Source organism: Homo sapiens, chromosome 16 (genome assembly GCF_000001405.40).
Source record: "Homo sapiens chromosome 16, GRCh38.p14 Primary Assembly".
NCBI classification, from domain to species: domain Eukaryota; kingdom Metazoa; phylum Chordata; class Mammalia; order Primates; family Hominidae; genus Homo; species Homo sapiens.
Genome location: NC_000016.10, coordinates 18,091,909 through 18,104,624, shown reverse-complemented (window position 1 = coordinate 18,104,624; position 12,716 = coordinate 18,091,909). Strand labels below are relative to the sequence as shown.

Here is a 12,716-nt window from a genome sequence, read left to right as displayed (position 1 = left end):
ACAATAGTGAGTAAGTCAGGAACACCCTTTGCTTTCATGAAGCTTATATATTCATGGGGAGGCAGGCAATAACTAAGTTAATTTAAAATGGTGATGTGTTATGGAAAAAATACAATAAAGGAACAAGATAAAGAATGACTTAGCATGGGAGGTGGACAGCTTAGTTCGGGATTACTTTTTGGAGGTGGCCTAGAATTAAGAAATGAGGAATGACAAGGAGTGAGCCACGCACATATCTGGGCAAAAGCATTCTCAGCAGAGAGACCAGCAAGTGCAAAGGCCCTGGGGTAGGAAGAGCTTGGCATGCTCTAGAAAATAAAAAGGGCCAGTGTGGGTATAGCATATTAAGTGATGTGGGGGCATGGTCAGAGGTGTAGTCAAAAAGGCAGGCAGGGACCAGATCGTGCAGGGCCTCAGGCTATGATTAGGAGTAAAAAATGCATTCTCAATTCAGTGCCTGGCATAGTCAGTGCTCAATAATCGAATGTTTCCTTTCTTTGCAATTCCTTTCCCTTAAAACAGAGTTGAAACTTGGCTAAGTTATTGAGTGACCATTCTGGTGGCTCCTTCTTCCCCTGGAACTGAAAGGATCTGTTAGTTGCATAACAAGAAAGGTTTTTCTTTTTGCACAATGCCGTAGACCTTGAAAAGGTTCCAAGTAGGAGTTTCATGTCTCAGAGGGAGGAGGAAGATGATGAGATGCTTAGGAGACTATGAGAACCCATTGAGTAGATAGAATAGGAAACTTCAGTTTAATAAGCTTGAGCTTAGATGCCTGTGACAGTCTCTGTCATATAAATAAGAATATGCTACAATTTATATGAACTGGACTTTAGGAATCTGGAACACTTGAAAAATGAGAACACACATTTTTTATACTTTGCTTCTGGGAGAAGGGCAAAGACGGGAATATAAGTGATAGCAAATAGTGTTTTAAATAAAAATTCCACATGCCAAAGATCTCTGCTGATTCAGTCTAATTTCTAACACTATCTTTAGTCCCAGAATACACAATTCTTAGGCCTGCAAGAATGCTCATCTTTCCAAGAGAGACTCAATTTCTTTGGGGGAATTTATTGACAGTGGGTAGCAATGTGGGCTAACCTATTGATTCTTTTTTTCTGTTAATAAGGGAGGAAATAAATGGGATTTTCAGTTTCATCCCTCTGCTAACTGGGGGGAAAAAGCCCTCTGCCCATGTGCACTGAGTCCTGGTTAATCAAGTTTTTGCTGTGGTTGGCAGACAAAAGCTGAGCAGATTTTTTTCCAAGTGTGGTGCAAAGTAGGGCTGGATTTTGCTGTAATTTTGTCATTAGACCCAAAAGAAGAAATGATATTAATCAGAGATAATTTTCCTGGGCTTCCCAGAGGGGTATGAAAGGCAGAGTGAACTCCCCATTGCTCTGAAGTGGCAGAGAGTGACCATCCAACAGATGAATTGAACAGATGGGAGGAAGTGTCAATGTACAATTGATAAGCACCCTGGTGATGGAAAGGAAGAAACTGCTTAGAAAATGATGTGGGGGATGCATGGAGTAGAGATTTTGCTGAATATTGAAGGCCTCCCTTACCCTTGATTTGGCATCTGGAGAATAATGGTATATAGGGAGGCACTTGGCCAAAATCTCATATGGAAAACAATTAACAAATCAATTACTTTAATATACATTTGTTAAGCATCTCCTATATGATACTATGCTTAGATGATGAATAAAGAAATATATCAGACCTTTTCTCTCTGAAAGCTCTGCCTTCAAGGTGATCAGTAGGGGAGAAAAACATGGGGAGGCAGGGTATATTAATTATTAAATTCAGGATGATGAAGACCATGACAGAGGTGACAAAAATGCCCTGGTCTGGGAGCTCAGGAATGGCTTTCAGGAGGAGATATCTAGGATGGAATATTTTCTAATTATAGAAATATTACACATCGTCTTATGTTGGGGTCTGGTATTAGTTATCTATTGCTACATACCAGGTGACCCCATGACTTAAGCAGCTTGACTGACCCACATTTATTATCTTATAGTTGTGGGCCAGGAATATGGATGCGAGTTAGCTAGGTCCTCTGCTTCATGGTTTTGCACAAGGCTATAATCAAATGTTGGTGCAAGGTTGTGGTCTCACGTGAAGGTCTGACTGGGGAAGTATCCATTTCCAAGCTCACTCAGTAGTTATTGGCAGCATTGAGCTCTTTGTTGGCTGTTGACTAGAGATGACCTTCATTTCTTTGCCATGTGGGTCTCTTCAATGTGGCAGCTTGCATTATCAAAGCACACAAGGAGAGAAGACAAGCTAGAGAGTCTGGTGGCAAGATGGAAGTCAATCTCTTCTATCCCAATCATGGAAGTGACACTCATCACTTTTGGATTTAGAAACATGGCACACTCATGGTGAGGGGATTGTATAAGGGCATTAACAGAAGGTGCTGGAGATCATTGGAGAACATGTCAAAAGCTGTCTATCAAAGGTCCTAGAAGCAGATCCTGAAATGAGGGCTCATTTAAAACCAGTTTAATAGGAAGTGTTTCCAGGAAAAACCCAAGCAGGTGTGTGATAGCAAACAAAGTCTAGCAGAAGATAACTGTGGCTCAATCTGCAGGGGAGATCTGGAGGCAGCATATTTTGAAGTAATTCCCGTTAAGAAGCAAGGGAGGTGAAGTATTTAAACTCCTCCACCTGTCAATCATTGGCTAAGGGCTGCTCTTGGGCAACATAAATTCCCAGGTGCTTCTAGCTCTCCGTGCATTCAGAGAAAGTGGATTCCAATATTCTGAGGCTGTTGGGAGTGAAAGCACATGGGAAACTGGTGTGCACAAAATCATCAAGGGAGCTGAGGGGATGTGGGAGGGCACTGACAGCATCTGCTGCTCAGGTTCATTGTAAAACATTGTGACAATATGGAAGAGTAAAAAGAAATAGGTAATTCTGCAGGAATGACTGCAACTAGAAGCTAGTCTTAAAGGTTGGGCTGGAATAAATCCAGGAAAGGAGACAGAGAGGAGTAACCTAGAGAGAGGAAACATCGGGGAGGGATATTTGAAGGGGTGCGAGCATAGCACCTTTTAGTAAATCTAAGTAATTAAAAAATAGAGTCTAAGTAAATCATAGAGATCTGAGCCACAGATGGGCATTTTTCACAAAGTGTTTAAGCATTTTTAAGCTAACATTGAAAAATGGCAGGTTCTACAAAAAAAAATCTTAATTTCCTGATTCTTTTGAAAACTCAGAAGAGCTTGCAATGCTGAGTCTGCATTTCTGCTGGGCAAAGGGGCTGGACCTGTGAAGTTGCTCAGTTGTTGAGTTGGGGCATGCCCTTGTGGTTTTGTCCTGGCCCAGCACACTCCACTGAGTCCCTATATGCCCTTGAGATTGAAACCTCTGGTCTGAGTGTGTCTGGCGTTGTGTAAGGTACAGCTGGCAAGAGCTATATTATTAAAAGCCTCAAACATCAAGCTGAGGACTAGGAATGTGTTGTAGGGAAATGGGGAGCCATTGAAGGTTTTAAGTATCTGTATGACATCCGGAGATTTGCTCTCTAGGAAACCCATGTCATTTGGCCCCATTGATGCCCCAAATCAGATCTGGGGATGGGCGATTGTTTAAATCAAACTTTAAAAATGATTCTCAGCCAGACACAGTGGCTCACACCTGTAATCCCAGCACTTCGGGAATCTGGGGCAGGAGAATGGCCTGAGCCCAGGAGTTTGAGGCCAGTGTGGGCAACATGATGAGGCCCCTATCTCTACAAAAAACAAAAAAAATCCTCGGATGTTTAGAATTAGGTTAGTTATAATCCTTGCTCATGACATACTGTCATTATTTCTCTGAGAATGGATCTTTTAGTTTAATTGATTAAAAATTTAATAATCTAATAAATACCCCTGATCTCATCATTCAACCAAGAGCAATCACATTGACAGTAACACACATCTGTTCCTATTTCACTGTGTAGTGGGTTTCTGCTGTCTTTGCTTACTCATCAACCATTCTCCATTGTAGTAACCTAGTGAAAATTAGATGAGCTTAGACATCATCTAGGACAACCATTTTTAAAAGAATCTCCCTTTTAAAGAATTTCTCTAACCAGCGATGGGAAATTCACAGCTCCAGCAAGCAGCCAGTTTTATGATAGCTGTTAGAAAGCGGGCCCTGCCTGTAATGCCTGCCCACTGTTTCCAGCTGGGCTGTCTTTTAATTTCCTTCCATTTACCTGGAACCTGGTAAACATAATCTTCATTCAACCTGTATCAAGCACCTGCCTTGTATAAGGCGCTGCAGGGAATACAAAGGTGGTTAAGACAAGGTTTTTTCTGCCCCTGTGGAGTTCATAGTTTAGCAGAGGAGATAAGACAAATACACAAATAATTATAATACAATGTCAAGAGTGCTGTGTACTATAAGAGAGAAACAAGCAAAGTGTTATTGAAATTCAGAGAGAGAGAGAAAGAGACAGAGATTAATTCCAGGTAGAGGAAGTTGGAAAAGCTGCATGCAAGAAGTAGCACTGGGGCTGTGCCTTGATGGGAGGTGAAGGTGATGGTTTTACAGACTGGGGAGAGGGAACCAGAGAGTGCTATCCATACAGAGGAAAAAACATGGACAAAGATGTGGAGGTGGGAGAGTGCAGGGCTGATGACCCCCAGGGACTGTGGACATAGATCCTCATTGGCCAGGAGTCTCACTGTAGAAGTCAAAGTCTAAAGCAGATGCAAGGGTACTGGGGCCACAGCCTCTCACAGTATGAATTGTTCACCTGCCAGTATTCAACATTACTAATTCTTCCTCATCCTCCTCCTCCAGGAAGCCTTTGATACTTCCCCAGGTTGGCTTAGGCGCCTCCCTGTATACTCCTTAATTTCCCTGGGCTTATGTTTGTCATAGGCTTTAGCTCTGTCCTGTCCTGGTCATGGCTCTAATGTGATTGTGTCTTGGCCTCCTCCCTAAGACCATGAGCAATTGAGGGCTGGGATAATGACTTCTACACCACCGCCTCCCCAGTGCTTAGCACGGTGCCCGGCGTAAGGTAGGTCTTCATTATACAGTTACTAAGTGAATGAATGCTATTTTGGTCCTATTGCTGCCTACCTCTGTCCCTCATTATCCTGCCCATTAGACTTGGAATATGTATTTAGCTCTCTCTACTTTTTTCTCAGCTATCATTCAAGGTCTTGACTTTGCCTTTTTATAGTATATATTTTCATTTTATGCATTACCTATGGAATCAGATTCAAACTCTCATTCTGGTCCAACCTGCAAAGTCACAATCTGGATAAAGCCCATTTCTTCAGCCGACCTGGTCTGCTTTGAGCCCCAATATACCCCTCCTTAGGCATTTTTCAATTCAACGATTATTTATGGAGTGCCTACCCCATGCTGGGAACACACAATGAGGGCAGTGTTAGGATGTCCCTGGGTTAACTCACATTTGGCTGTATCTCTGAATCTCACTAGAAAAACTCAGAGGCTGGAGAAAATGGCAAGTTCCCACGGAGGAGAGAGGTCTGATATATCAGCCAGATTAATTCTTCCAGTGCCACTATTAGATGAGTGCTTGGGTCCATCAAGCAAGTCCTGATGGCAGCTACCTCTTCCGATACTCATCTGGGAATCTATCTGGGCTCTTTCAGGGGGAACAGGAGATTGTAATTCTGAAGTGGAACAGAAAGAAATGTAATTGGATCAATGGGCTATTAATGATGCTATTGAAGAGTGCTCTGCCAGAGCTGTGTTGTGAATGGGGCTGGCCACAGAGAACCCGGCCACGGCCACGTGCGAGCTCGACTTTGACACAAAGCCTTCTGCACACTGTGAAGGTTTTTTTTTTTTTGTATGTGTGATCTCATATAATTCTTTATAATTTTCCCTGGCCAGAAAGACTGTTTTAGTGGGGTCAGGTAAGGCCTGCTAGGCATTTGGCTATGTGTCTGCGGATGGGAAGAAAGATTCACATGGATATTTGTGCTGTATAGGGTGGTTGCAGGCATCAGATGACCTCCTGTTTGTGGCTGAGTTATTTCTGACGGGCAGAAATGGGAAGCAAAGTGAGTGCTCATCCATGGGGGAGTGGCTGACTAAGCAATGGGGCTTCCACCTATGGACTGGTACGTGCCCAATAAGGACAGTGAAGGTGAGTGATATCAGGGGTATTGGGGGCTTTCTTTTCTTTTTCTTTTTTTTTAGTTTAATGGGGTACACCTGCAGGTTTTTTACATGGGTATCTTGCATGATGCCGAGGTTTGGGCTTCTGATGATCTCGTTGCCCAAGTAGCAAACTTGGTACTCAATAGGTAATATTTCAGCCCTTGCCCCCTCCTTCACTTCCCCCTTTTGGAATCCTCAGTGTCTCTTGTTCCCGTCTTTCTGTCTTTGTGTACCCAGTGTTTAGTTCCCGCATGTAAGTGAGAATGTGCAGTATTTGGTTTTCTGTTTCTGCGTTAATTTGCTTAGGATAACAGCCTCCAGCTGCATCCATGGTGCTATAGAGAACATCATTTTATTCTTTTTTTGTGGCTGTCTAGTATTCTGTGGTATATATGTACCATATTTTCTTTATCCAGTCCACCACTGATGGACAGCTGGGTTGATTCCATGTCTTGGCTATTGTGACTAGCACTGCTATAAAGATATGAGCACAAGTGTCTTTTCGGTAGAATGACTTATTTTCCTTTGGGTACATATCAACGATGGGATTGCTGGGTCCAGTGAAAGTTCCATTTTTAGTTCTTTGAGAAATCAACTTGGAGGGCTTGCAACAAGGAATTGTTGAATACATGGGAACGGTTGGTAGAATATGATCCCATTTCTATAAAACAATGATTGCCCACACTCATGTGTGTCTGTATGTCTGTCTAGAATTAAATGAGGATGGACACTATATAGAAGACCACTGACTGGACTGTCAGTACAGGTTTTCTGGTGGGGCAGGTGTTGGAGCAGGTGGGGAGATGGCAATGGGGGTGAGAATAGAGGGGCAGGGCAAATGAGCCAAAATTGGTAGCAAAAAAAGTTTGCCGTCTCTCTCTCCCTGTCTCCTCCTCTCTCTCTGTTTCTGCCTCTCTCTCTCTCTCTGCTTGTCTCTGTCTCTTTTTCTCATACACACACACACACACACACACACACACACACACAAAGGAATGCTCACTTTTTATGCATTTATGTAAAATTTATATATACATGGATATATATGTAAGGCTAAATAATTGGAAAAAGGTACAAACAAGAATCAAGGGACATATTAACATTTCATTTATAATTGACACATATAATTATACATGTTTATAAGTATAGTGTAATATTTTGATACATATATACATTGTATAATGATCAAACAGGGTAGCCAGTGTGTGTCCATCACTTCAAACCTTTACCGTTTCTTTGTGGTGATCATTTTCAAGCTCCTCTTCTCTGACTATCTTGAAATATGCAATGTATGGTCATTAGCTCCAGTCGCCCTACTGTGTAATAGAACACAGGAACTTATTCTTCCTGATTAACTTTGTACCCCTTGGCCGACCTATCCCCATTGCTCCTTCTATGTCCCTTCTCCTGCCTCTAGTAAGCATCAAGTGACATTATTTATTTTTATGCACAAAACATGTATCGGTGGCACACTCTGTGCCAGGCATTTTGCTTGGTATGAGCAATACAGTGATAAGACCCAGGATCTATCCTTTAGAAAGTATTTTGTAATCTCTCTCTCTATGTATAAAACAACTAGCAGGGTGCAGTGGCTCATGCCTGTAATCCCAGCACTTTGGGAGGCCGAGGCAGGTGGATCCCTTGAGGCCAGGAGTTCGAGACCAGCCTGGCCAACATGGCTAAACCCCGTCTCTACTAAAAATGCAAAAAAATTAGCCAGGTATGGTGGCACATGCCTATAATCCTAGCTACTGGGGAGGCTGAGGCAAGAGCATCACTTGAATCTGGGAGGCAGAGGCTGCAATGAGCTGAGATCGTGCCACTGCATTCTACCCTGGGTGACAGAGTGAGACCCTGTTTCCAAAAATAAAAATAAAAAAAAATTAAATACAAATTAGAGTGGTTTCCAATTCTGCCTACACGTTGGAGTCACCACTGAGGGCTGCAGCTTTAAAAAAATACTAAAGGCCAGGGTCCCACCCTAGACTAATTAAATCAGAATCTAGATTGTAGGGACCTGAAGTTTCAAAAATCTACCCTAATGTAAAGATTGACAACGGTTGAGGGTGATTGTCTTAGAACCTGAATTCTAATACTGTAAGATGTATTATCTTAGACTCAAATATCTGTTAGTAACTTTAGGCTAGGCTTTTGCACAGATTGCTTTTATTTAATAAAATGCAAATGCAATTTCAGCCGTGTGGAAGCAGTACCTAAATGGCTGTGTGGACCCATCATTCCCAGGGTGCTGAGCTAAAGGGGCAACCAGGGAGGATGCTAAAGGTTGATGGCTAAGGGTGGTTTGATCTCATGACCCCTCCCTGTGGTTTCTCAAGGCCGCTCCCTGCCATCTGCTGAAGGTTGGTTGTTTGGCTTGGTGACGTTCAGAAAAAAGCAGTACCCCCTTGGACCGCTCTCTTATGTGGCTGAAGCAGTGTGGTTCTGAAATTAACTGGAGGATTTACCTCCTCTGAGATGTTGGCACTTCCTAATGAATTGTTTTCCCACTTAAAAATACACACTCATGTCATTTAAGGAAACTCAACAGGTGAAGCCCAGTAATTAAGGATCTCTGCAGGAAGAGGAAACTGAAAGCAGCAGCTGGATCTCTTCTTAACAGCACCATTAATCAGCACCACCTGCACAGGGAAAGCCAGGCATCAATTGCTATGCAAGCCCAGAGGGCCAGGCTAGTGTCCCAGTCAGGATGGTCACTGTCCAGCATGCATTTCAGGTTTGTGGAAGAGAAGGTACAGGGCCCCAGCTGTGGTGAGGCAAGCGGGGTGCTTAGGATGCAAATTAAAGCTGCATTCACCCTGCACTTGCCTGAACTTGGATTCTAGGTACCCTGCTCTTAAGGAAGTACCCATTCTTAGGGTCATGCTTGTGCAGTCAGCCCCTGAGAGTGAGTGCCACCTTAAGTGTTGCACTTTCTTGCCTGATCATAGTTCAAGCACTGGAAAGGCGTGTTGGTTTGGGGACTGTTTGAATCTTCACTTTTCCACTTTCTAGCTCAGTGATTTAAAGCTAGTGATAATGTTTCTCTCTGAGCCTCAGTTTCTTCATTTGGAAGATGAAGAAATGAATGTAGCATATCATATGCCAAGGTGCAGGTTTAATAGTTGACATTACTATTATTTAATAGAAAACTTCTATTTCAAAAGTTGGCTGCTGTTTGAATTAGTTGACCTAGGAGTATCATGAGGAATCCTTCTGAGACAACTGCATATTTTCTTTTCCCAGAAAAAATACTTTAATTGGTGTGGTTTTCTTATTTGCAGGGAGGTTTCCTCTGGAGTACGGTAGAGATGAGAAAAGCTTAGATTAAGAAGAGTTGCATTGGTATGCATGACAAAAAAATAGTAATTTGAGGTCTTTTCCCAGCTCAGGGAAAGAGGGTCTTGGGTGTACTGACCATTGCGAAAAATTAGAAGGAAATAGAGAAGAGACTTGGTAGAGGACCCCCCCACCCCCCACCAAAATGACAGCAGTTGGGCTTTAAGGAAAGGTTGGGGAATGTAGGATTCAAGAGACTTAGTAGAGGATCCCCCCAAAATGACAGCAGTTGGACTCTGAGGAAAGGCTAGGGAATGTGGAATTCAAGAGACTTGGTAGAGGACTCCCCAAAAATGACAGCAGCTGGGCTCTGAGGAAAGGCTAGGGAAGTGAAATTTCCTACGGCAGGGGTGAGTGAAGAACTTCAAGACAGAGATAAGTAACTTTGTGGAAGTCATGGCTTATTGCATGCTGTAATCCCCCTCCATATCCTGAGAGCTTCAGTAAAGTCAGCGGCATGAGACAGCTCTGTCTTAGAGATCATTGGGAGAAATGAAGGAAGAGACAGGTTCCATGTGAGTTACAGCAGGATGGAGAGAGGCCATCAACAGAGCTCACTACAGAGAGGTAAGAAATCTTCAGGAGTGGGAATTCAGGCTGAGGTGTGAGTTTGAGCAGGAAACCCTTGAAAACTGGGCCAAACCAAGTTGGAATGAGCAATTTCATACGTGTATCCCAAGCACTTAGGATAATGTCTGGTGCCTAGTAGGTGCTTTGTAATTATCGGTGGAATTATTGATGTTAACAGAGGGCCAAGAGGGATTAGTGAGCAGGAATTTCAGGCAGGCAATTTTCAGCCTAAAGTAATGTAAGTTGCTTGGAGAAGTAATGACTTCCCTGTCACTAAATAGGTGAGGTGCATGAAAGGCTGGACTAGCTGAGTTCAAGCTTGTCTGGACTAGATAGCTTCTAAACTCATCTGTCAGTTGGATATACACTGGTTCAGTCCATGTTTTTAAGACTGGATGGGCCTGAGTTAAAAGACTGACTCCTGCAACTAGCTGTGTGACATTGAGTAAGTCACCCAATTCCTCTGAGCCTCAGACTCCCATTTGTAAAATCAGGAAGGTGGGAGTGCCTACCCCCTCGAGATGCCTGATGCCTGGAGGGTTAAAAGAGAAGATGTCGGTAATGTATGTAAATGGCTTAGAGCATTTCCTCCCTGCCAGTAAGTGTATCCTTAAGAATAAATAACACCTCAGAGATTGTACAGCTCTGTTACTCTCATTTCTAAGGCTGGGGCTGGTGAAGTATCTTCCCACAAGTCTGAGAATGCACAAATGGAACCTAAGTTTTCTGACTCCCATCCTACTCCTCATCCACTTCACTGGCGTGACTCCACCACACAAAGAGGAATGGATTGGCCTGCTAGGGCTGGGTGAGGGGCAGGCATTTCTCAGAAGACCCAACCTCCTGAAGGCCTGATGACAATAGAGGTGCTATCCAGTGAAGTCATAAACAACCAATAGTCTAGATTTTCTGAGTTATTGGAAGGGCACCAGAGGAGAAACAGTGGTCACGAGGAGTTGCATTTGTCCTCACTGGAAGGAGAATCTTTAGTTAAGGGACATTAGTTTGTTTCTTAAACAAGGATGGATACACAAGGGCAGACCATCACCTTATGCTATGGTGGAGGAATAGTTTTGTCTGGAGATATTTCGTCAAGCAGTGGCTGTAAAGGTTGCTTATTGTGAGCCACTAGGCTGTGTGTGCATAGAGTAGGAGCTCCATAAGTACTTGTTTAATGAATGGATAGTTTCCACTACTAATTGCTTCATCTGTCTTCTTGACAACCATAGGCATAGGAAGAGACTTGTAGCTACCATCTGTATTAGTTATTTATTCCCGCATAACAAATTATCCAAAACTTAATGGCTTAACACAACCACCTTGTTGGTTTACTTACAATTCTGTGAGTCAACAATTTGGGCTGAGCTCAGGTGAGTGGTTCTTCTGTTGGTCTTTCCTGGGGCTATTCCTATTCTGCACACATCTGGGGACTCCATTAGAGACAGATTGTCTATGATGACTTCACTCCCAATTCTGGCATTTGGGGCTGTCTATTGGCCAGACCTTGCTTCACATAGTTTCTCACCCTCGAGGAGTCTAGCCCAGACTCCCCATATGTCAATCTCAGGGTAGCATTTCAAGAGGGATAAGGTAGACGTTTCTGGCCTGTTGTGGTGTAGTCTGTGAATTACCATAACATCACTTCTTTGAGATTTTCTTGGTCAAGGCAAATCACATGACAAGGACTCAAGAGGGTAGAGAAATAGGTTCTACTATTTAGTGGAAAGGACAGCAAAGTGACATCACAAAGAGGAATGCATATAGAGATGGGGGGAATATGTGACCAACTTTAGTAATCACTGTAATTCTGAATTGACTCACAAACACTATCAAGACAGATCATTGTCATACCCTAGTTCAAAAAGCAGTCCTTGCAGCAATATAGAACAGATAGAAGTGAAGAGAATGTGATTTTGCTAAAAATGACATATTTACATGACCAGTGATGGGTGAGACCTATGAAAAATCCCCAGAGAATCTCAAGAACTCATAAAGTGCATTTCCATATTTATGTAGAATATCAATCTCCTGCTGTCTTTAACTTCACCTAGTATATTCCTAGGTATGTGTATCTAAGCCCAAGTTGGTCTCACGTTTTTGCCTACTTCCGAGTCAATATGTGACATGCCATCCCATCTTTTTGTGTTACCACATTATTATAACATAAGAGGTGGTTATGTTTCCTGGTTATCTTGAGCTCGAGCAGGTCCTTCTTGGTGATAGCCCATTGGTTTCTTCCAAGTGTGCCCATGTCATGCTATTTTTCTCCAATCTAAATCTTGCCAGGAACTAAGCATTATGTCATCATCTCCTTTACATACCTGTTGGTGTTAAATCAACTTTTATAATTTTCCCTTGTCCTAGTATTTTTGGGATATGCCTGTTTTTTTCTCAGGTAGTTAAGTCTGTCTATTTAAAAAGTAATATTGAACCCGAACACTCTCATCTCTTTTAGGTCTTCATTCAAAAGTCACTTTTCTGGTGAGTCCTTTCCTGACCCTATTCTTTAAGAACTGGAACTCTTCCCAGCCGGTCCCAAGACGCTTTACTTGATGTTGCTCTCTCCATAGCACTTAACACCATCTATAATTCTATATATTATTTTTATTTTTTATAGTCTCTCTCTAAGCTCCGGGAAGGTAGTGGATGTTTGTTTGTTTTTGTTACTG

At 42.7% G+C, this 12,716-nt stretch overlaps 1 long non-coding RNA gene across 1 annotated transcript; it reads right to left on the bottom strand.

Moving 5' to 3' along the window:
• Positions 1 to 2,694: 2,694 nt before the first annotated feature.
• Positions 2,695 to 11,468, bottom strand: LOC105371108 (uncharacterized). The gene is made up of 4 exons (XR_933147.3): positions 11,384 to 11,468; positions 5,427 to 5,651; positions 4,214 to 4,275; positions 2,695 to 2,779 (listed from the first exon to the last, which is right to left on the bottom strand). It is a non-coding gene; the product is annotated as an uncharacterized LOC105371108 (long non-coding RNA).
• Between the last annotated feature and the right edge of the window lie 1,248 nt (positions 11,469 to 12,716).